Genomic DNA, 19,567 nt, shown 5'->3' with positions numbered 1-19,567 from the left:
AACCCCGAGCCATGCTTTCAGACGCTGAGAATTATGTCCCTGCACCGCAGCCTCAGTCAGGCTCCTGGGCCCTGTCACCACTTGGCCCAAAGCTACTTTCTCCCCCCAACCCCATCTGCTTCCCACCAGTTTTCGTTGCTTGCACCCCCTCCCCTTGAGTCAAATGTTCCTGCTTGCAGAGTTTATTAATAGCTCTAGCATCATTGAGTAGTGATTTTTCTTCCTTTTTTGATTTATTATTTTTTTTAATTTTAGGCTTTTAGAAACAAATCTGGAATAATATTTCAAGCTGCTCCCATCTGGGGCAAACTCCAGTCAATCCTTTGAGCCCAAAGCACATCTTAGGGGGAGGCATCCTCCACGTTTCCTCCCAAAGCTGTGGGCCTGGCGAGCCCGGCCTCTTTGCTCTGGTGTTAATGCCCTGGTGATCACTGGTCATCAGTAGTCCAGCTCTACCATGGTCCATGGTTCTGTGGACCCACCCTATATCCCCAGTTCCTTGAGCCTCCTCTAATCAATGTCCCTAAAAACTTCTCGCTGCCCAGAGAAATTTTTTCCCCAACTTCGACTCTACAGTGATATAAGTGCTGTTGAAATGATTGACTATGTGTATTTCAACACACATGAAAATAGCACTTGTGTGCACAGATTTACTGCACACTTGGTAGTGACAGTGGGATGGTCGTTCGTCCTGTGGTAAGTCCTTTTCCGTACTGAAGCGTAGGAGTGAAGATGGGCAGGTGATGTTTCCATGTGGGACCTGTGGTCTGAAGTGCTAAGTGAGGTAGACACTGGTGGGTGTGACTTTGTAGGTGTGACAGTAGGTGTGACTGTGGCTTGGGGAGGCTGGGGTCAGGAAGGCTTCCCCAGGGTGGGCAGAGGGCTGATGATGGCTGTGGCTTGTGTTTTCAGGCTGGTCCCATCTGGAGTGTTGTCCCTAGTCCAGTCTGGGGCCTGAATCATTTCTATCAGTGCCTAACCTAGAAACATCTGATTTCTCTAATCCTCTTGTTTGCTCTGACAGTCCCCCGACCGTTCCCACCTTTTCTTTCAGCTTATGTCCCCTGACGTAGCTTAGCACTTTTGTCATCACTGGAACACGGAAAGGTGATTTTCAGATGGAAGGGTAGGTGTGAATTTTTTTTTTTTTTTTTTTTTTTTTTTTTTTTTTTTTTTTTTTTTTTGGTAGGTGAACTCCAAGTGGCAGAGAGCCCACCTGGAAGTCAGCTGAGAGCTGGAGCTCTAAGTAAAGGCACTCTTGACAGGGCTCTGTCTCCTACTCTCGAACAACCAGGGAAGTGAATGGCAGCCGTTGGCCAGGAATTGATTGCATTAATTGATATGCCAATAAGAACGCTTGTTACATCCGCCATTGGTTAGGAGGCCAGCTAACAAGTCCGCTGATCAATGGCACCAATAAAGATTTCATCCATTAATGAGGAACGTGGTAATTAATGTTATCCATAAACCTATTAGCCTGGCTAGCTAATGCACTGGTTAGTGCCATGAGTGGCAGTGTGGAAAGTGGGCAGGGCATGGGTTGGGACTTAGGCAGGATCGTGGGCACCATCTTGGCAGGATCGTGGCCTCATCTTCAGGCAGGTTTATTCCAAACGTAAGCACATTTCAACCTCCTGGCAGAGAGAGAAGTCAGGCTGAGCCGGCTGGGCCCCAGGCTGGAGTATGGCTGAGCCCTGCTTTTGTCCCCCTACCTGCTGGGAGGAGACCAAGCCACGTTTTTCTCTTGCAGCTCCTCTGGCTGCAGAGCTTTCCCACGCAAGTCTCTCAGGGGCTGTTAGGGGCGTAAATGGAATGACTGAGTTCCCGGGTCATTCCAGTCCCAGCTGGGCACACTGTCCCCAGGGACACTCTCCGTCAGTGGCTCACACGCACTGCCCTGTGCTCCTGGAGGGCGGGCGTTGGCCTCTTCTGGGAACCATGAGTGAGTGGTAAAGTAATTAACATCCCCCACCCCCGGGCTTCATTAGGAAGAAAAATTTTGCTAGACGAAAGAAAGAAGGAGAAACAGATGATTTGAAGCTGTGCCTTTTTCCTTCCCCCCTGGTTTTTTGAAATGACATCAGTGGGTTGTTTGCCAAGCATAACCTGGCAGCCCGGCGCTCTGCCTGCCTGCCTGAGATTTCTGGGGACCGTGCAGCTCGCCAGCTCCAGCCGTGGCAGCATGCCAAGGTGACGTTCCGTGACTAAGCAGAAACGAGGGAAAGGGAAAGAGGGAGGAAGAAGGTATGTGTGGTTGGGGAGCTGGGGGAGAGAGTGGTCCTGGGTCTGGGCGTGGCATGGGGAGATGAGGAGGCATGTCTGGGGGCATCTGATCAGGAGGGCGGGCAAGAGGGGCAGGCACTGGCAGGCCAGGAGGTGTTCCAGTGGCATAGGGGGTGGGAGGGGGGGCACAGGGTGATGGCCGCAGACCCAGCCTGGGAGGCCGCCGAAGGGGTCTGACTTAGGAGGGAACCAAATGAGCCACAGTGAAGGTGACAGCCCAGAGGGCCTGGAACTGTTGAGGAGGAGGCTTAGGAAGCTTTTATCAGCATCAGGCCTGATACTCCACAGCGGAGTTTCCTTTGCATTGTTAGGTATTGACCCTCAGAGACCCCTTGTGGATTCCCTAATTGAAAATTAATACTAGATCAATGCCATGGGCAATTTGCATATTGATCATAAACAACTTTGAAGGCACCGAGTGTGCGGCAGATCAATAGGGCTCGTGAATAGGCTGCAGAGGGAGCACCTCCCAGTACAATGCGCTCCGAGAAAGGTTAATGATTTAGGAAGTTCCTAACTGCTTAGCGCAGGGAACAGCCCCCACACCACACAGCATCCCCAAGAGCAATTAGTGCCAGGCCTGAGCGCCTGCCCTCCATTCCCCCTCAGCACCCCCATCCCCAGGAGCGGAGGGAGGGCCACTGTGCTGGTGTGAGGCAAGGGGCTGGCGACCTGTGTTTTTACAGTTGCCTTTTTTGGTGATGGATGAAGTCTTGGGGCAGTTTATTCTGGGAAGCTACTGTAAAAGGCAGCAGCTAAGTTCAGGCTCCAATCATTGTCCTGACCCCTTCCCCAAAACACAGTTCTCCTGATGATGTGAATGGAATGAGATGGAGGAGGGGAGGAGCCTGGCTGCACCCAGCCTCCTCCCCCTCGGGCTTCAGATCAATGTGGAACCTACATTAACGTTTGCTTTAAGCCGTGATGGGTTTGGCCCTGGTTTGCTTCCTGTTCCATTCAGCTCTCATCTTTGGGCTTTTATGTCTTCGCCCATCGCTTACTCTCCCCTGCTTTGCGTCTGCTTGTTTTTGCTCTGGCTTTAGGCCTTGCCTTTTGGGGTGTCCCTGTTGGGTCCCCAGCAAGCCTGGAAAGGAATTCACTCCTCTGGGGAGATTCCCTTTACCTGCCACCCCTCCCCTTCTTTATCCTGGCCTCCATCCATCCCCTCTTTTCCCTTGGCTGCGGAAGCTGTGTGTGGATCAGCTGCCCTGGGGGTGCTCCGGGCTCACTTCTTAACATTGCAGCAAAACCTGGAACACTCCGGGGCCTGACCACTGAGTTTCTTGGAGCTCCCAGGGTACCAAGAGATGGCTGGTCCTAGGTTCAGGGCCAGATGCAGCCTGCAGAACTAATGCTGCCTGCCTGCACCTAGCTGCCTTGCTCCAGCCCTGAGACTGCAGGGTGGTGGCACCAGTAGCAGAGAGGTCTGCGTGTCACTAGGGGGAGACACGTCTTAGGTAGTGCTGAGTTGAGCAGACTTTCTTCTACAACAGCCAATTTGAGAAAAATAAAGTCCCCCCTTCATCCTCAATACCAAATTCATTTTGTACTAGGAAGTGCTAGCTTAAAATAGCCCTGCCGAGGTCACATAGTTTTCTATGGCTTTTAAATTTACAAAGTCCACTGAAATACATTTAGGTGCAGGGACAATGCATTTCCATAGAAGGGACATGCAGAACAGTCAGTAACTAATTTCTGCATTTGCACCGCAGTAACTAATTTCTGCATTTGCCATTCTGAGCCTTGAGTCCTTCACCCCAGTCTTGGTGCTGCCCTGTCCTCTTCTCAGGGAGAGGCTTCAGAGCACGATGGTCAGATGGGTCCTTTGGTTTATGGGCGTCCAGACTGTCCAAGTGCTGCAGCACCGCCCATGGCAAAGGATAGCCACTGGTCCGCTTCCCCTCTTTGTGTTTCTTCACCGTGAGGCCAGCTCTACCCCCACCCCTGCCAGCCCCCAGTAAATGGAAAGGTTCAAAGAGATTTTATCTGTATCTGCAGCCACATCCGTATCTGCACTGATATATTGCACATGCATGTTTAGGGAAAGACAGGAGTTTTTCTACTGGAAATCCCTGCCGGGGCCACCAGCTAAAGCCGTGCAGGTTGTCCCCCACACAAACAGTTCTCTGCTAAGGGGGATGCATAAAGACTGCAGTCCATCCCAGACACTACCTTACCCAGCAGAGGGAGTGGTGGGTCTCAGGACCATATGTGCCCAGAGGAAGAGGTGCTGGAGGAGCACCTTGTTCTGACTTTCTCAAAGGTACCTTTCATGCTCACAGTGCCCGTGGCCTGCAGTGGGTAGCAAGGCCTACAGGATGCTGCCCAAGACCTCTCTGAGCTTATCCCCTGCCTTGTCCCTTCTCTCCCTGCTTAGCGCTCAGCGCTCTTCCAGCAGGCCAGCCCTCCTTCTGTGCCCTGGGTCTTTGCACGTGCCATGCCTCTGCCATGTGAGCCTCCTGTGGCTCACACTCTCACTTCTTCCAGGTCTGTGTGCAAATGCCACCCTCTCTGAGCTTCCCATGTTAAGGAACTCCCTGGATTCCTTTTTCTACTTTATCGTTGACCCTTAGCAGCCTCTGACTTAGAATATGCTCACTTACTGAGCTGCTTACTGTGTTTTACTCTCCCCACTCCTTCCTGCCCCTGCCCCATGAGAGCAGGGGCTTTCCTGTTGTGTTCACAGCCGTGTTGTCAATGCCTGGGGTAGGTGCCACATGGATATGTGATGGGTGGGCGGATGGATGGACAGACAGCACAAGCACAAGTGTGTGTTCTCCTGTGAAGGCCACCATGGTTGGTGCCTCTAGAGGTAGCCATTAAGCATATGGTCCTTGGCATCAGCTGTCACCTCCTAGCTATGTGACCTTCACCAGTAATTTAACCTCTCTGAGCCTCATCTGTGAAATGAGAGTCCTAATACTATCTACTTCAGCTGAGTGATGATTGTGTTGCTATTGTTAGATACTTGCTAATGACTTAAGCCAATGGAGGCTTTCCAGGCGCGTGGTATTGGTTTTTGTGATCAGGCTCTTGGTGGTGAAGGGGTCTACACAGGCAGGAGAAAGGGAAAGTCGTCAGTGTTTTGTACTGATTGGTCTGGGTCACAGATGCTTTGCGGTCAGAACATTTGGGATTGGGGCAAAGAAGATGGCAGCCAGAACACAGGCTCCTGGGGCAGGACGGGGGTGCCGTGACACAGAGCGTGGGAGCACGTGGCGTGGGGCAGTGATGTGAGTTGGGGGCGGAGAGCCCACGCAGGCCTGGTTCAGGGCCGGGCGTGGCTGCAGCCCTGCCAGCCCAGCGGGCAGGTGCCGGGATGTCCCTGTGCATGCGATGACTTCATTATGGAGCCTTTCATTGACTTGGCTGCACTGTGCTGATGAACTGAGACTGGGGACAAGAGCACATAATTGAGGGAAATAAATTCCCATCACAGGCCGGGCTGCAGCCAGGAGTGTGCGTCCTCTAGGCGTGTGTGTGGTGGCAGGGGGAGGGGGTTCCAGTGTTTTCTCAGGTGCATCTCCCCTTCTTTCCTTCCCTTCCAGACCTTCACAAGCACTGGGCGCAGGGGGAGGAAGAAGTGTGCCTCATCTCCGCAGTGCTGCCTCTGTTTCCCCCGCTTGGAGCTGCTTTTCCAGAAGCAAGCCTCTGGTGTCCGCACCTTGCCCTCTTTTCCGCCACACGGAGGAGCAGGAACCTGCCGGGGCCTCCCTCGTTCCCCTCATGCACCTGTTCATTCTCTCATTCATTCCATTTCCCTTTGTTTGTTCACCTTCAGTTCTGTCTGTGCTCTCGGCTTAGCTCTCTATGAAGGCAGGGAAGGGGAGCACTGTTACTACAGGACTTAATTGAAATAGCATTTCATTCATCTCGGAAATGAGGAAGGGGAGGGGGCGGGGCAGGGTTTTCGGGGCAGTCTACTTGCCTCTCATTCGACACAGAGCCAGGCCTGAAGATACCAATGCCACAAATGCATAGCAAGATCTTAAGAATTTAGGAACCAGAGTCATTTGCATAAAACTAAACCAAAAACCGCACAACCAGCCACATGGTTTAACGACCTCTAAGCCAATGTCCTGCTGCGGTGCATTTTCTAAGAACGGGGATATCAGCTGCTCTGGTCACCAGAGCATCTGAGGTCAGTCATTATTAGTTGTTTACAGCAAAGGGACACCCACCCCCCCACCACCACTCCTGAGCCCCAGTGTGTTTTGGGCCTTAAAATACATTTCCTGGAATGTGAGGTCTGTGTGCTGTGTGCTGGGGGTGCATGTGATGGTTGGGCGAGGGAGGCAGGTTGCCTCAGTTACAAAGAAACATGGGCGGTGTGAAGGCAGAGTAGAAAAGAAATGGAGAGCCCTCACTTGACACCCTCTGACCTCAGCCATTGGAGCTGAATGCTGGAGAGCCAGGACTGAAATTGCAGTCACTTTAGATTATTTGGAGCGAGGAGAGGCAGGGAAAAAAGGGTCTGTTGACTACAGGAAGCTGAATTCTTCCTCTGCTGAAAAGCTTATTAGTGGAAGGGGAAAAAGCAATTACTTGGCTTTTGCTAGTTCTCTGTGGCTGGGATTCGGGGCTGTGACAGCAACCCTGTCAGCAGTGCCTTGGACCTCACCCTGATCCAGAATATCGATGATGAGCTCTGCCCCAAGCCATTTGGGAGCAGTACTTCTGGGATTCCCCCCTTTCCAGAAAAGAGCATGGAGGGGAGGAGTATGTGAGTGAGTGGGTGAGTGTGTGCGGATGTAGGAGAGGGGGAGAGAGAGCTGTGTCTTGTCCTTTCTTTAAATGTGATGCTTTTATTTGGGGCTTCATGTTGCCACTGGGCAGGAAGTTAACAGGGTACCAGGTGCCTGGAAACAGGATTGGCTGGTTTTGTTTTGTGTATCGTGGGGTTTGCTTTGGTTTTGGTGAGTTCATTTTTTATCCTTGCCATGCCATTTGTCTTAAACTGTAAAGAAAAATTAGGCATTGCTTTGAACAACTATGGTACCATTATTAGAATCCACCTGCCTCAACATCACCACCTTGATGGAGGGAAGATTCCCGCAGAGCCAGCACCCAGGGAGCAGGGTGTGAGGCTGCACCGCCCACACTGCCCATGGCTTCTGTCTTGTTTGACTGTGTAAGCGTCACCCCGAGCACTTCTTCCCTACACAGCTGATGGCCTTCATCCTCCTTTAGACACCCTCCTTCAGGTTTCCTCACTGTGTGGCTTTTTTTTTTTTTTTTTTTTTTTTTTAGACGGAGTCTCGCTCTGTCGCCCAGGCTGGATGGAGTGCAGTGGCGGGATCTCGGCTCACTGCAAGCTCCGTCTCCCGGGTTCACGCCATTCTCCTGCCTCAGCCTCCCAAGTAGCTGGGACTACAGGCGCCCGCCACCACGCCCGGCTAATTTTTTGTATTTTTTAGTAGAGACGGGGTTTCACCGTGTTAGCCAGGATGGTCTCGATCTCCTGACCTCATGATCTGCCTGCCTTGGCCTCCCAAAGTGCTGAGATTACAGGTGTGAGCCACTGTGCCTGGCCCCACTGTGTGGCTTTGGAGCCCTATCCTGCTCCAATCCCTGGTCTCCTAGTCTGTAAAATTGAGGTACTTGTGGTCAGCTCCCCCAAATACCTCAAAACACAGGTAGAACCTGCCGGTGACCAGGCTTTTGCGAACAGCCTTCATTCCTCCTTCCCAGATCTGCTGTCCTCATGTTTATGCTCTCTTTGTGTTTGGACTATTCTGCCTAGTTATCCTTTTTATATTTTCTAAAACACCTAAGAAATTTCTGCTTTTGCCATCCTAATTGTATCCAGCTAAATTTTACACAGGTAGATTTTTAATCCAATGTCCCTTTTATCTTTTCTTGCTTATATATCTCCATTCTTCAAGTTACCTGTCTTCAAGGCTGTTTTCTGTCTTAATTTCCATTCTCCTGGAACATTTCCTATTCTTTTTAACCTTTCAGCAAAGTTCTTTAGTAGTTGAGTCAACTCATAGGCTAGCTCTTCTTAACAGAAATTGATCCGGTTTTTTTCCTACCATAATATATATTTAATTTTAAGATATAACCTTACCTGGGTTTGTTTTTTGAAAGTTTTCATTGGTTGCCATCTAAATCTCCTTCCTCCGACCTCCTCCTATTTGAAGATTTTGCTTGGTAAGTGAAGAATCACTTACTTTATTCTTTCTAATCATGGGACGGTCTTATCTTCAGTGTTGCACTGCCCTTTGATTAGTTCATCTTCACACCTCTGGCTTGTTTTACCCTTCTTTGCTAAAATCTTGGCCTTACAAAGTGAAGCATAACCTTTCATTTGTTTCGAGTTTCCTTTCCTTATTCTCTCACTGTCCAGTTTCTGTATTTCACTTTGTGAAATGTTGCTGGCTGGGCATGGTGGCTCACACTTCTAATCCCAACACTTTGGGAGGCTGAGGCGGGAAGATTGCCTGAGCCGAGGAGGCTAAGGCTGCAGTGAGCTGAGATGGTGCCACTGCACTCCAGCCTGGGCAACAGGGCAAGACCTTGTCTCAAAAAAAGAAAAAAGAAAAAAAAAACAAAAAAACAAGTTGCTCACTTATGAAAGTTTGGGGACGTCTGAAGTAAGGATTTTTCTGTCAGCGGGTTTCTAGTGCTTCCGCCAACTGCAGTGTGTACACGGAAGGATCTCAGCATCCCAGATTATTTCTTTAAAATGTAATTGTGTGCTACAAATTTCTATAGATCCCTTATTTCTGTGTCAAGTACCAACTCTTTGTCACTAAACTGCACCTTCTGCCCGATCCCTGATGACTTTGTCATCTCATGGCAACATTTTCTTTCTCTTAGGTTTCATGTATTTGTTGTTTTCGAATATTCCCACCACTAAACAGGATGGGGTGTGAGTCTAGAATTTAAATTACTTTTGTTCAAGTGTTTGTCTTGATGACTATCACTGTGTGTTTTTGGGCCTTGAGAGATATTGCTGTATACATTTGTGGAATGGAATGTATTGCTTTTCAAGGGTTGCTAGCCTGTTCTTAGGTCTGAGAAACACCTCACAGGAGGAAAAGCTAAATAGATACACAGCGAGTCCTGAGGCTGAGTCTACAGGGCAGTTTAGTAGCTGTGGGAGATTTGAGGAGCGCTGCTGTAGCTAAAATCATTGTGAAAGGGATGTGGGGGTGGCATTTTGTTAAACCCTAGCAAAAGACCGTTTCATTGTACAGGATCCAAACTTTAAAAAAACAGAGGCTTTGGATCCAACTACTGGCATCACTTTCTAAGTTTCTAAAGAGGAGGAGGATCCAATATTCTTTCTCCCCTTGGACACAGAATAGCTGTACAAGGTGCCTATTAAAAATGACAAGTTAGCAATTCCATCTGCTTTTTCCCCCATTAATGGAGGAAAGCTCTTGAACGTAAACCTTTGGATTTTCTCTGTACCTCAGCTTCCTGCTTCACTTTCTTTGCAGTTTCCCAGGAAATGTCAACTGAAACATGTTGCTTCTGTTGCCTGTTTGTTTCAAACTGATGCATGCTTGGGGACTGGATGGTTTTTGGAGAGTAGCCCAGTTTTTGACTTTCCACGTGTAGACGCACCTTGAAATGTCTTGGGTCTGGCTTCTGGCAGAGTTAGGCTCTTCTCCGCTGGCACCAGGGAACTCGTGGTAGGCACCTGAAGGCTCCCCACGATGCTTGCAGTTGTAAGGGTCTTTTCTTGGCCACTCCGGGTGTTCACACGTTTCTAGCATTGCATTCTTGAATGTGCAACCTGTAAATACGTAGTGACCTTTGTATATGCTTGGGTCTGGCCAAGGGAGAGCAGATTTAGCTGGTGTTTTTCTGGGTGCAGCATTGCCTCAAGCTGGCCTGATTTCTGTTCCCCAGATTTGGTTTGGAAAGTGTAAGCCTTTTGTTTGTGCTTTGTTTTTATGAATCAGCTTATTTTACCAGCTGTGCATATTAGTGGCTTATGATCATGCAAAACAAAGCTCATTGACAGTCAGTTCCTCATTCTGCTGTCCACTGGTGGGAGTAAACTCATATTTCTGCCTGAGTTCTGTGCTTCGCAAGGGTGAAGCTGTTTTCTGAATAGGTTAGAGATTCTTCAGACGCTGTGGGCTTCAGAGTAAGGTGGCAAACAGGGAATCCAAGTCCCTCATTTGTATCCTCATGTGACTCAGACCTCTGGAGTCATGGTTTTATTTTTCTCTGTTGTGTGCCATTTGTTTCGATGGTCAGACACAAAATGTTTACCTCTTTCTTTTTCTCTTTGCTTTTTTGCTTCTCTTTGCCCCAAATAGTCCGTCATTCCCATTGGTATTGTCAAACTGTGTCTCCCCAGCATTGCAAATGCCTTGGGCCTGCATGGCCGCCCCTCCATCTCTCCTTCCCTGGCTGTCGTTCTTGTATAGATTGCATCCATCACCGTTGACGCTCCTGTTACGAGAGCCATCCCACAAGGTTTCACTTATGCCCATTAGGTTCTAATCACCATCATTTAATATCAGTTCTGGTACATCCTGTTCATTTCCCATACACCTTCATTTGTATATAGATGCTTAAGTACACTTACAGGCCCTCCTTGACTTTTTTTCATCCATATATTTCCAGTATTTTCCAATTAAAAATAAATAAATAAGGAAACGGATTTTTTTTTTTTGCATTAAGCATAAGATCTCTCTCTGACAAGCCAAGTCAGTTTTGATTCAGAAGGAGATACCAGTCTTCTTTAATGGAAACTGTTAAATTTTTTAATTTACTCTCTATCACTCATGTGTGTTTATCTGTCTTGTCTTCTCCCCTCCCAGCATGGAAACCTGGCAGTGTTTATTTCCGGCAGGTTGTTATTGAAAGACAGATGCTTGTAGGGACTGCTCAGCCTCACACCTGGAATGTTAAAAAGCTTTCAGGCAGGTCTGCTCTGTTGAAAAATGTCCCTTCCTACAGAGGAAGGGGACAGGAGGGAACGGGTACCCCATCAGGGAAGCTCCCCTTCTTCATCCCCCCCACATTGTCATGAACCCCCAATTCTGACCATAAATCTAGACACCCTAGATGATGCCTCTGAATCCACAAAATGGTTAATTCTGATGAGCAAATAAATACTCCATCGAGACCTTCTTCTATCAACTCCAGCTTTTTTTTGGGGGGGGTGGGGCTTTATCAAATTTTCTGTCTTTAAGACATTACTGTTTCCTCTCTCTCATCCTCCTCTCTTTCTCAGTAGCATACTGGGTTGGAATCATTTTTCTTGACTCCTTTGTTTTTAACGAGATGGGGGACACCCTTCTTGGTATCAAGGACCTTCTATTTTGCATGCCCCTTCTTTCTAGAACATTCCAGTTTGGTGTGAGGTTAAACTGTGTAAAATACTGTTTGAAAGAAAGGAGAAAAAGAGAAAGGAACTTGTCAAAATGCATTTGTTAGATCACGTTTTAAATGAAGTACAATTGAAGGTAGTTTTTGTCCAAAGAAAGGAAAAACCCCTGCAAATCCGCTGAGCTCCCAGAGAGCGCGCCTCCTTTGTCGTCGCGCTGACATTGAAGTGTAATTTTTCATGGTTATTTGGACTGGAAAATGGGGGGGGGAAGGGAGAGATGGGCCTGCGATTATTTCCCATAAATGACAACACAATCACATCACGCTCTGCTACAGACATGCTCGGGGAATTTGCCTTTTTTACATTTCATGTGTGAAAGTAACAGCAACAATCATGGCTCTGTAGAAATCCAAGGGAACTAATCCCTGCTGAATTCCGTTTACTTCAGAGTTCTGGGACATAGCTAGCTTTCTTACTTAGCGTGTATTCCGAGAGCGTTTCAGGGTTGGGTTTGTATTTTACAAACTGGAACTCACACCTTTCAGTTATTAAAAAAAAAAAAAATCTTCCTGTGAATAGCCACCAGGCGAGTCCGCGACATATTTCGTTCCGTTGTGCTTTGTCACCGCACATTTACTTTTATCCTTTCTGGATTTCTGCAGGGGGCAACCCAGGTGCTTTTGCTAAGAACACAGATAAATGGAACTTGTTGCAATACTGGCTCTAGGCGTTTCCTCCCTTTTTCTCCTCTCTTGACCCCCACCCACCCCCGTAATTCTTGTGCGGTTTTGACAAATTGTTCAAATGGCCAAGTGGCCTTGCCTGGGAGAGGAAAAATGGCAGGACCCGTCCCTCACCACACAACGGCAGCATTTTTCACTTCATGCTCTGGCGTTCTGTGCTGTTCCCACAGGAGGGACGGCTGAAAGGGGAAATTTTCTCGGGGAGGCCTTAATAGGCCCTGGCCACTTTGGACTCGTAACAGGCTCTCTCCTGTCAATGCTCAAGTTGGAGGTGAGGTAAAGTAAAAAGGCAAATGGAGAGGCTCCCCCAGGCTTGCATTCTTGTTGAGCTGGGCCATACTCTGCCCAGCAGGGGCCGAACACGCAGCTGCAGCCTGGCCCTCCCTTCCCAGGCTGCCTCTTGCCACACAATCCCCATTTTTCTTGTTTCTGTAAACAGTGGTAAGATCTTCAAATATACAAAAGCATAAATGGTCTCTATTCTCCAATTAGTCATTTTTAATAATACCCAGAGTTGCTTTCAGAGTGTTGATTCTTAGAGCCTGATGCCAAAAAACAGGGATGGTGGTAATGGGGGACAGGAACGGGGTCAGGGTGGGGGCGGTAAGGAGGCTGAATTCCTTCAGTGTGGGGTTTTCCTGCAGGGCCTCCCTGCTGCAACCCCCTTGGAAGCTGGCAGCTCTCCACCACCTTTCAAGCTGTCCAGAAACTCCAGGCGCTGTGGCCCCAGGTGTATTTGGTAAATGACCATCTAGTGGTAAAAAGAATTCTTGTGGTAAAATGATTACTTAAAGGATCCATGTGAAAAAGAGTTTGTAGGTCCAGGCATAGTGGATCACATCTGTAATCCCAACACTTTGAGAGGCCAAGGCAAGAGGATCACTTGAGCTGGGGAGTTTGAGACCAGCCTGGGCAACACAGCGAGACCCCTATCTCTAGAATTTTTTTTTTTAATTATTTGGGGATGGTGGAGTGCACCTGTAGTTCTGCTACTCAGGAGGTCAAGGAAGGAGGATCACTTGAGGCCAGGAGTTCAAGACCAGCCTGGGCAACATAGTGAGACCCCATCCCTACTAAAAATACAAAAATTATCTAGGCGTGGTGGCATGTGCCTGTAGTCCAAGCTACTCAGGAGGATCGCTTGAGCCCAGGAGTTTGAGGCTACAGTAAGTGATGATTGCACCACTGCACTCCAGCCTGGGTGACGAAGAAAGACCCCGTCTCAAAAAAAAAAAAAAAAAAAAAATCATCATTGGAGCCAGGGCGCATGTCTGAGTTTTCCATGACCCCAGTTTCTTTCTGACCCCATCTTCTCCACTTTTAGAGGGCTGAAATCTGTTTGTGTCGTTGTCATCTTTGAGAAGGCAGTTTTGTTTAAAACAAGCTAGCAGTTTGTTAGCAGTTTGGCCACTTTGTTTTGGTAAGCCACCAGGGTGGGAAAATTACCTGTAGGAGCATTAGGCTGACCTCTGACTGTTTAGTCCAGCAGGTGGAGAGAGGTCTTTCACATGGCAGAGAGATTAAGTGGGTGAGAAAATGGAAAAGGATGAAGGCAATGGCGCCCCTGGAGGGAGACCTGCCTCTGTTTTTCCCACACTCTGTCCCATTGACTTGGTGCACTTCGGTCCTACTGAAGAGGCAGCTTCTAGAGGCCCGCAGGAGTGCGGGAGGCCCATTTGCTTATCATACACGCAGAGAGCAAATGGGCATGAATGTCTCGAGCTTTATTCATGCGCTGGAGTTTGCCCATTGGAAAAGAAATGACATCCTGAGAAGGTGGGAAAATATTACACTTCTGATGAGTAAATAGATGCTCCAGCTGTAGAGCCCCTGCCTGCTTTCTCCTGCCCCCACCCTCCCACACACATCTGCACTCAGTCTTCACCCCTTCGAGGTTTCCTGCCTGGACTACCATAGGGTTAGTTAGCTCAATATGTCCCACTCATCAGTGCTGGTTTGGATCCCAGGCCCTTCCTCTTGTGATCTGGCGTTTTCCTCAGTAAATGTATATACTCTGCTGAGAAGTAGAAGATGGAATGGGCAAAGTTGGTTGGTGTTTTTTTTTTAATTTAGATGATTATCCACAGAGGACTTCCATGGAGATTGGCAAATTCCCTTTTCCGTGTACATACATGAGAACATGCAGTCACCTTTACTAAGATGCTGAGTGTACGATGTGTGATGAGAACAATTTGTATTTGTGGTAAGCAAAAACCACCTTGATTTAAGGGAAAATTCCCGAGGCAGGGCATTGTTACCCAGAAGACCTAATCGCTTGGAAGTTACCTCTCGGGCATCTAGCCAGGTTGTCAGGGCTGGAAGAACACCATGGAATAAAACCAGGGAGTAAATATTTGAGATGTGTCTGGGATGTTGCAGAGTAGGTTGCTACATTCTGGGTCTGGCTGTCACGGTACAGGTAGGATATAGCTTGGGGCTCATGGAGAGTCACTGGCAGGACTTGTGGTCACTATTCGATGAGACTCCACTTGCTCGAAAGTCACAGAGGGAGAATGGCATAGGGAGTGGCCCACCTCCATCGGTGTAGCCACAAAGATTACCACCACTAGCCTCTTCCTTCCTGGCTTAGAGAGAGAAGACGGGAGTAGAAGTAACAAGCTGGGAGCAACACAACTGCCCGTCCACCAGCATTGCAGATTGTGTTCCGTTAAAAGTTTCTATTGTAGCAGAATTATAACGCACTGGATTTTATTTGAAATAAGTGGTCTAGGCCTTAGTAGTCATCTTTTATATTGTGGGATTTGATTTGACCTGTATTTGCAAAATAAAGCCTGCATATTCTGTAGAATATTTGCAGCCAGTAGAGGTTTCCCATTGATAACAAAATGCCAAGAGGATTGGACACGCTAGAGTGTTCTGCCCTCGTTTTCCAGTTGTGCCAGCCAAGGCTTAAAGAAGACAAGTGATTGGTCAGGGTATACAATGAGTCTCAGGATGCCGCACCTACACAGGAGTTAGAGGAACGAGAGCGAGGCACATCCCCGAGTCCTTCCTTCCACCCACCACAGAGACACCAGCAAACGCCACTTGTAGCTGCCATCCTCCGTGTCAGTCTTGATGGTCAGAGTGTACCCCGCCTTTCCCACCTGCTTCAGTGGTCGTCCTTGGGTTAATTAGGTTGAAAATGGAGAAAGGAAAAGCTTTAACTCTATCTTCAAAGTAAGCAGATAGGTTATTTTGTTTTTCAAAGAAGAGGTCCTATATACAATTAAAACTTGTTTCTGGTAAACCTCATTCCAGGAAAGATGAGCTTTTAACAAAAGGCTTTTGACAGCTGCAGGCTATTTCATTTTTTTTAATGCCGAATGAAAAATCAATACATTTTTCTGGGTTATACATATTCAGAACAGGCCTGATATTTCCATTATAATGGAAAGTGGGTGTCTGTGCACATCTCGCCTGTCAGAGCTGCACCGCCGCATTTTCCAAGCCACTGCTAAATATTTCAAACCTGATTTGATTGTGGTTCATGACAGCTAATGTTTCTCAGCTCTTGAGCCTGCCGACAGGCAAACGCACTTTATTTCACCCCCACCCTCAAACATCCCACCCTCCAAAGAAAAAGGAAAGAACAATTTCATTCTTCGGGGATCACAGATTGGTGTATTATTTAAGTAACATGATCATGTGAGAGCCTCGGGTACAGATACCCTGATTCTTAGGAGAATTTCCAAATTTCTGTCACACTGAGGCACTATGGGGGCTTTGTCAGGTTTGGGGAAGGTTTGAATTAATCTGCATTATCCTGTTAAGAGTTAGGAACAGAGGGACTAGTCTTAATCATTGATTGACTCCCCTTCCTTCAAGCTTATAAGTGATTCGTAGAATACCCGCCGTGGACACGTCACTTGGCCCCCATTATTTGGGAAAATAGTACCTTTTTTTTTTTCTTTTTTAAACAGCTAGAACATTTTCTTGGGTGATGCGTTTGGGGAGTGCATACAGTGAGGTTGCGGGGTTGAATGCTGGCTTTGTGGTGATGCCACCTCTATTTTTGGCTTCTGCCTGGTGCTGCTTTCGCGAACCAATTTCCAGGTTGTTCATAAGATTGGTGCAAATTCCCATGGGGCTGCCAGTTGGCATGCTCTCCTCCTTCAGGAGCAGATTTCACCACCGATGGGGGAATTGTGCAGTCACCTTTACCAAGATGCTAAGTATAAGGTATATTAAGAGATCAATTTGCATTTGTGGTCAGCAAAACCACTTTGATTGAAGGGAAATTTTCTGGGACTGGGGTATCATCCCCTTAACTGAAGCTGTCCTAGGAAGCTTTCCCCTTTAGAAGGTATTTATCTGCTGGAATTCTTGCACTTCAGGGCTCTGCACTTAGTCAGGAAGCCTGAGTGATGAGCAGGCTGGATTTTGCCAGGCACTAGTAAGTAAGTGCTATCTGGGAGAAGCAGTTGTAAAAAGGAGGTGGTGATGGAAAGAGTTTTGTTTTGTTTTGTTTTTGAGACAGGGTCTCACTCTGTTGCCCAGGCTAGAGTGCAGTGATGCAGTCATGGCTCACTGCAGCCTCAACTGCCTGGGCTCAAGTAATCCTCCCACCTCAGCCTCCCAAGTTAGCTACGACTACAAGCATGTGCCATCACACCCAGCTAATTTTTGCATTTTTTGTAGAGATGGAGTCTCACTCTCTTGCCCAGGTTGGTCTCAAACTCCTGAGTTCAAGCAATCCACCTACCTCGGCCTCTCAAAGTGCTGGGATTTACAGACATGAGCCACCATGCCCAGCCAAAGAGGTTTTTTAAAGGCCTTCAGTCACTGTTGAACATGGAAATGAAAGGCAGAAGGGACCCTAGGAAGACACTGCAGTTTTCCAGTATTTGCTTTTATTTCCCTAACTCTTTAACATGAAAACACACACAGGAGGGGGTGCTCCAGTTTGAGGCTACTGTGGGCTTCCGTATGGGTTTTAGAGACACCTTCTCTGGTGTCTTCTAAAACACAGAGCTGTCTGGGAGGCATTGGGCCTGCTACCTCCTGCCCAGAACCAGGGCGGGACTAGGGGAGTGGGGATGACCTTCTCTCCCAGGTCCTGGCCACGCCCTTGGGAAAGCATTCCTGGTGTGCTCTGGTTGGGATTGGAAATACCATTAAATGCTTGAAGGAGAAGATGGTTTTGATTTGTCTGTTTCAGCCTTAAAAATGGCACAGTGGCTGTTATGTGTCTTGGTCTCTTTTTCTGTAGGAAAGACAGGATTTTCCAGATAAAACCGATCATCAGTCCATCAGGTCTTCACTTGTTCCCACCATCTGTCAGTAGCTAATATTATAGGGGAAAAAAATCTGCAGCCTCTGTAATAATGACCCAGCCAGTTACCAGTGACTTCGCAGAAGAGGGGGGAATGCAATCCATGATCTGTGGGGGGAAAAGCAAAAAACCTCCCCTCCATTCTCCAGCACGTGTGTATCAAATCTACATTCCTAAAGAGAACAAGGGCTAGATAACAGCCCTAGGAGCTTAGCGTGTGGACGCAGATCTCTGTTTCAAAGCGGGATGCTATTTTGCCCCTGGTTCCCACGTGTTTCCAGGGCCGGGAGACCAAGCCCTTCCCCAGGCCTGGCTCTTGGTAAGCAGCTTGCTTTATGCTTTCGGAACCAATAAAACACACCCTGCCTGCAAAGCATCGTGGGCCTGAGCTGTCCAGACAAATTTTCAGTTTGCATCTCTGTTTTTTAATCATTTCTCTACCTTTATTGGTATTCAGAGCTCACAGTTTTCCGGTTACTGTCAGCCTGGGCTTTCATCCATTTTAAAGAGCTATTTTTCCTCTTGCTGTTGATGATGATGGTATAAAGACAGATGGTGTAACTGCTTATGAATGTCCTATTTTATTTCTCCAGGACCAGACAGTTCACTTGAAGACATATATTATTTCCACATGCTCAGGTTAGGCGGTCCAGACTCCTCTGCCTCCTGCAGCCAGCTGCCCTTCCGGGCCTCGCCATGCGGAGGGCGACACCTGTAGGTCCTGGATGGAACTGCAGGGATGAGCTGGCTGGGCTGAATGGGACCTGCTTTTTAGGTGGGGGTGGGGGACTGAGGACACTGATCCCCTTGAAAGGGAGCTGGCTTATCCAGGATTTTCGTAATCATTTCTTCTTCTACCACGCATAGAACAGCCTTTTAGTGAATGAATCACAAATGATAATATTAAACCTAGGAACTCAAGAAGAGGACTTGATTTGTAAATCTTTTTAAAAAAAGAGATAAGCAAAATAAGTTCTTGAAATAACCTCTTTCGTTGATCCTCTCATCGGAACTCAGCTGCCTTCATTTTCTGCTTGCAGTAGGGCAGGGAGGGAAGAAAGCAAAAGCCCAAGTGGGCTCACAGAATGAGAGCTCCAGGAATATTCACAAAGCAACATGCAGTTTCCATGCTTGATGCATCAATGATCTGCTTATACATTACAGTCTCTAGTTTCTCAACAGATTTGTTTGGTAAGGCTCAAAGAATTGGGGTCAGTGTTGGGTGACTGTGAGTTTTTAGTGCTCTGCTGTGATAGCTGCAGGCTGTATAATGTGCTGGCTTGGAGATGGCCCCCCAGTGGGTAAATCCCTTCCCATGTCTGCTGAGCAGCACCTTCAGACACTGCACATCACCATCTCAGGGTGTTCTGTAGTTTGTAGGTATCAGACTGTCTTCATCTAAGGTGGTCATATGTATGCACTAGAGATGAGAGGCCATTGAGCCATCTCTTTGCCTAATCAAATTTGATTATCCCATTTATGCTGGAGATTGCAAATTTTTTGTGTGTGAAAAATCAGACCTTGGCGATGACCTTGGGCAGTAGGATATAAATAACTCCTACAAGCTTAGTGTTCCAATAATGGAACAATAGGCATAAATGTATCAACACTACAGATATTTTGTATCACAGCATGTATTGGGACAAATAAGGGTCCTTTAAGGGACCTAGCTCATCTGGGTAGACCGAATGCAATAATATTCATTGACCGCACGCTGGTATCACCATTCAAAGATGAATTTTATCATTATAGTGTTGAACAATTTTATTGAAATCCTAAAAATGTGCACAGAACGTCCCACCTGGACATAATGAAGATAGTTCCTGTGTCACGCTGTGTAATTTGTTATTACTCTACTGACACCTATACATGTTTACTCTACTAAATGATGTATGGTGTCAATGTGGGGCTCTATATCTGATTGACTTCAAGCTGTGGTTGCCTGATTTTTCTCTGTTTGAACTAAGG

The 19,567-nt window shown here is 47.6% G+C and overlaps 1 protein-coding gene across 10 annotated transcripts in view, besides 3 other annotated features; it reads left to right on the top strand.

Annotated features, from left to right (window-relative positions):
• ZFHX3 (zinc finger homeobox 3) overlaps positions 1–19,567 on the top strand; it is a 1,109,046-nt gene that overhangs the window by 1,040,886 nt on the left and 48,593 nt on the right. The gene's annotated exons all lie outside the window — the stretch shown is intronic.
• Positions 3,672–3,731: a silencer, noted in NCBI's record as "silent region_7689". NCBI's record gives its function as "represses an Ori minimal core promoter by ATAC-STARR-seq in GM12878 lymphoblastoid cells {active_cell/tissue: GM12878}" and the evidence as "EXISTENCE:reporter gene assay evidence [ECO:0000049][PMID:35858748]".
• Positions 5,134–5,633: an enhancer, noted in NCBI's record as "H3K4me1 hESC enhancer chr16:72879311-72879810 (GRCh37/hg19 assembly coordinates)". NCBI's record gives its function as "activates a minimal SCP1, AML or CMV promoter by ChIP-STARR-seq in naive H9 embryonic stem cells {active_cell/tissue: H9 hESC(naive)}" and the evidence as "EXISTENCE:reporter gene assay evidence [ECO:0000049][PMID:30033119]".
• Positions 17,758–17,927: an enhancer, noted in NCBI's record as "experimental_44334 CRE fragment used in MPRA reporter constructs". NCBI's record gives its function as "activates a minimal promoter by MPRAs in K562 erythroleukemia cells, with activity observed for both the introgressed and non-introgressed 16:72867102 variant alleles {active_cell/tissue: K562}" and the evidence as "EXISTENCE:reporter gene assay evidence [ECO:0000049][PMID:34662402]".

The sequence above is a fragment of the Homo sapiens genome, chromosome 16 (genome assembly GCF_000001405.40).
Source record: "Homo sapiens chromosome 16, GRCh38.p14 Primary Assembly".
Lineage (NCBI taxonomy): Eukaryota > Metazoa > Chordata > Mammalia > Primates > Hominidae > Homo > Homo sapiens.
Note: the sequence above shows the minus strand (reverse complement) of the source record. Positions and strands in the feature narration are given on the sequence as shown.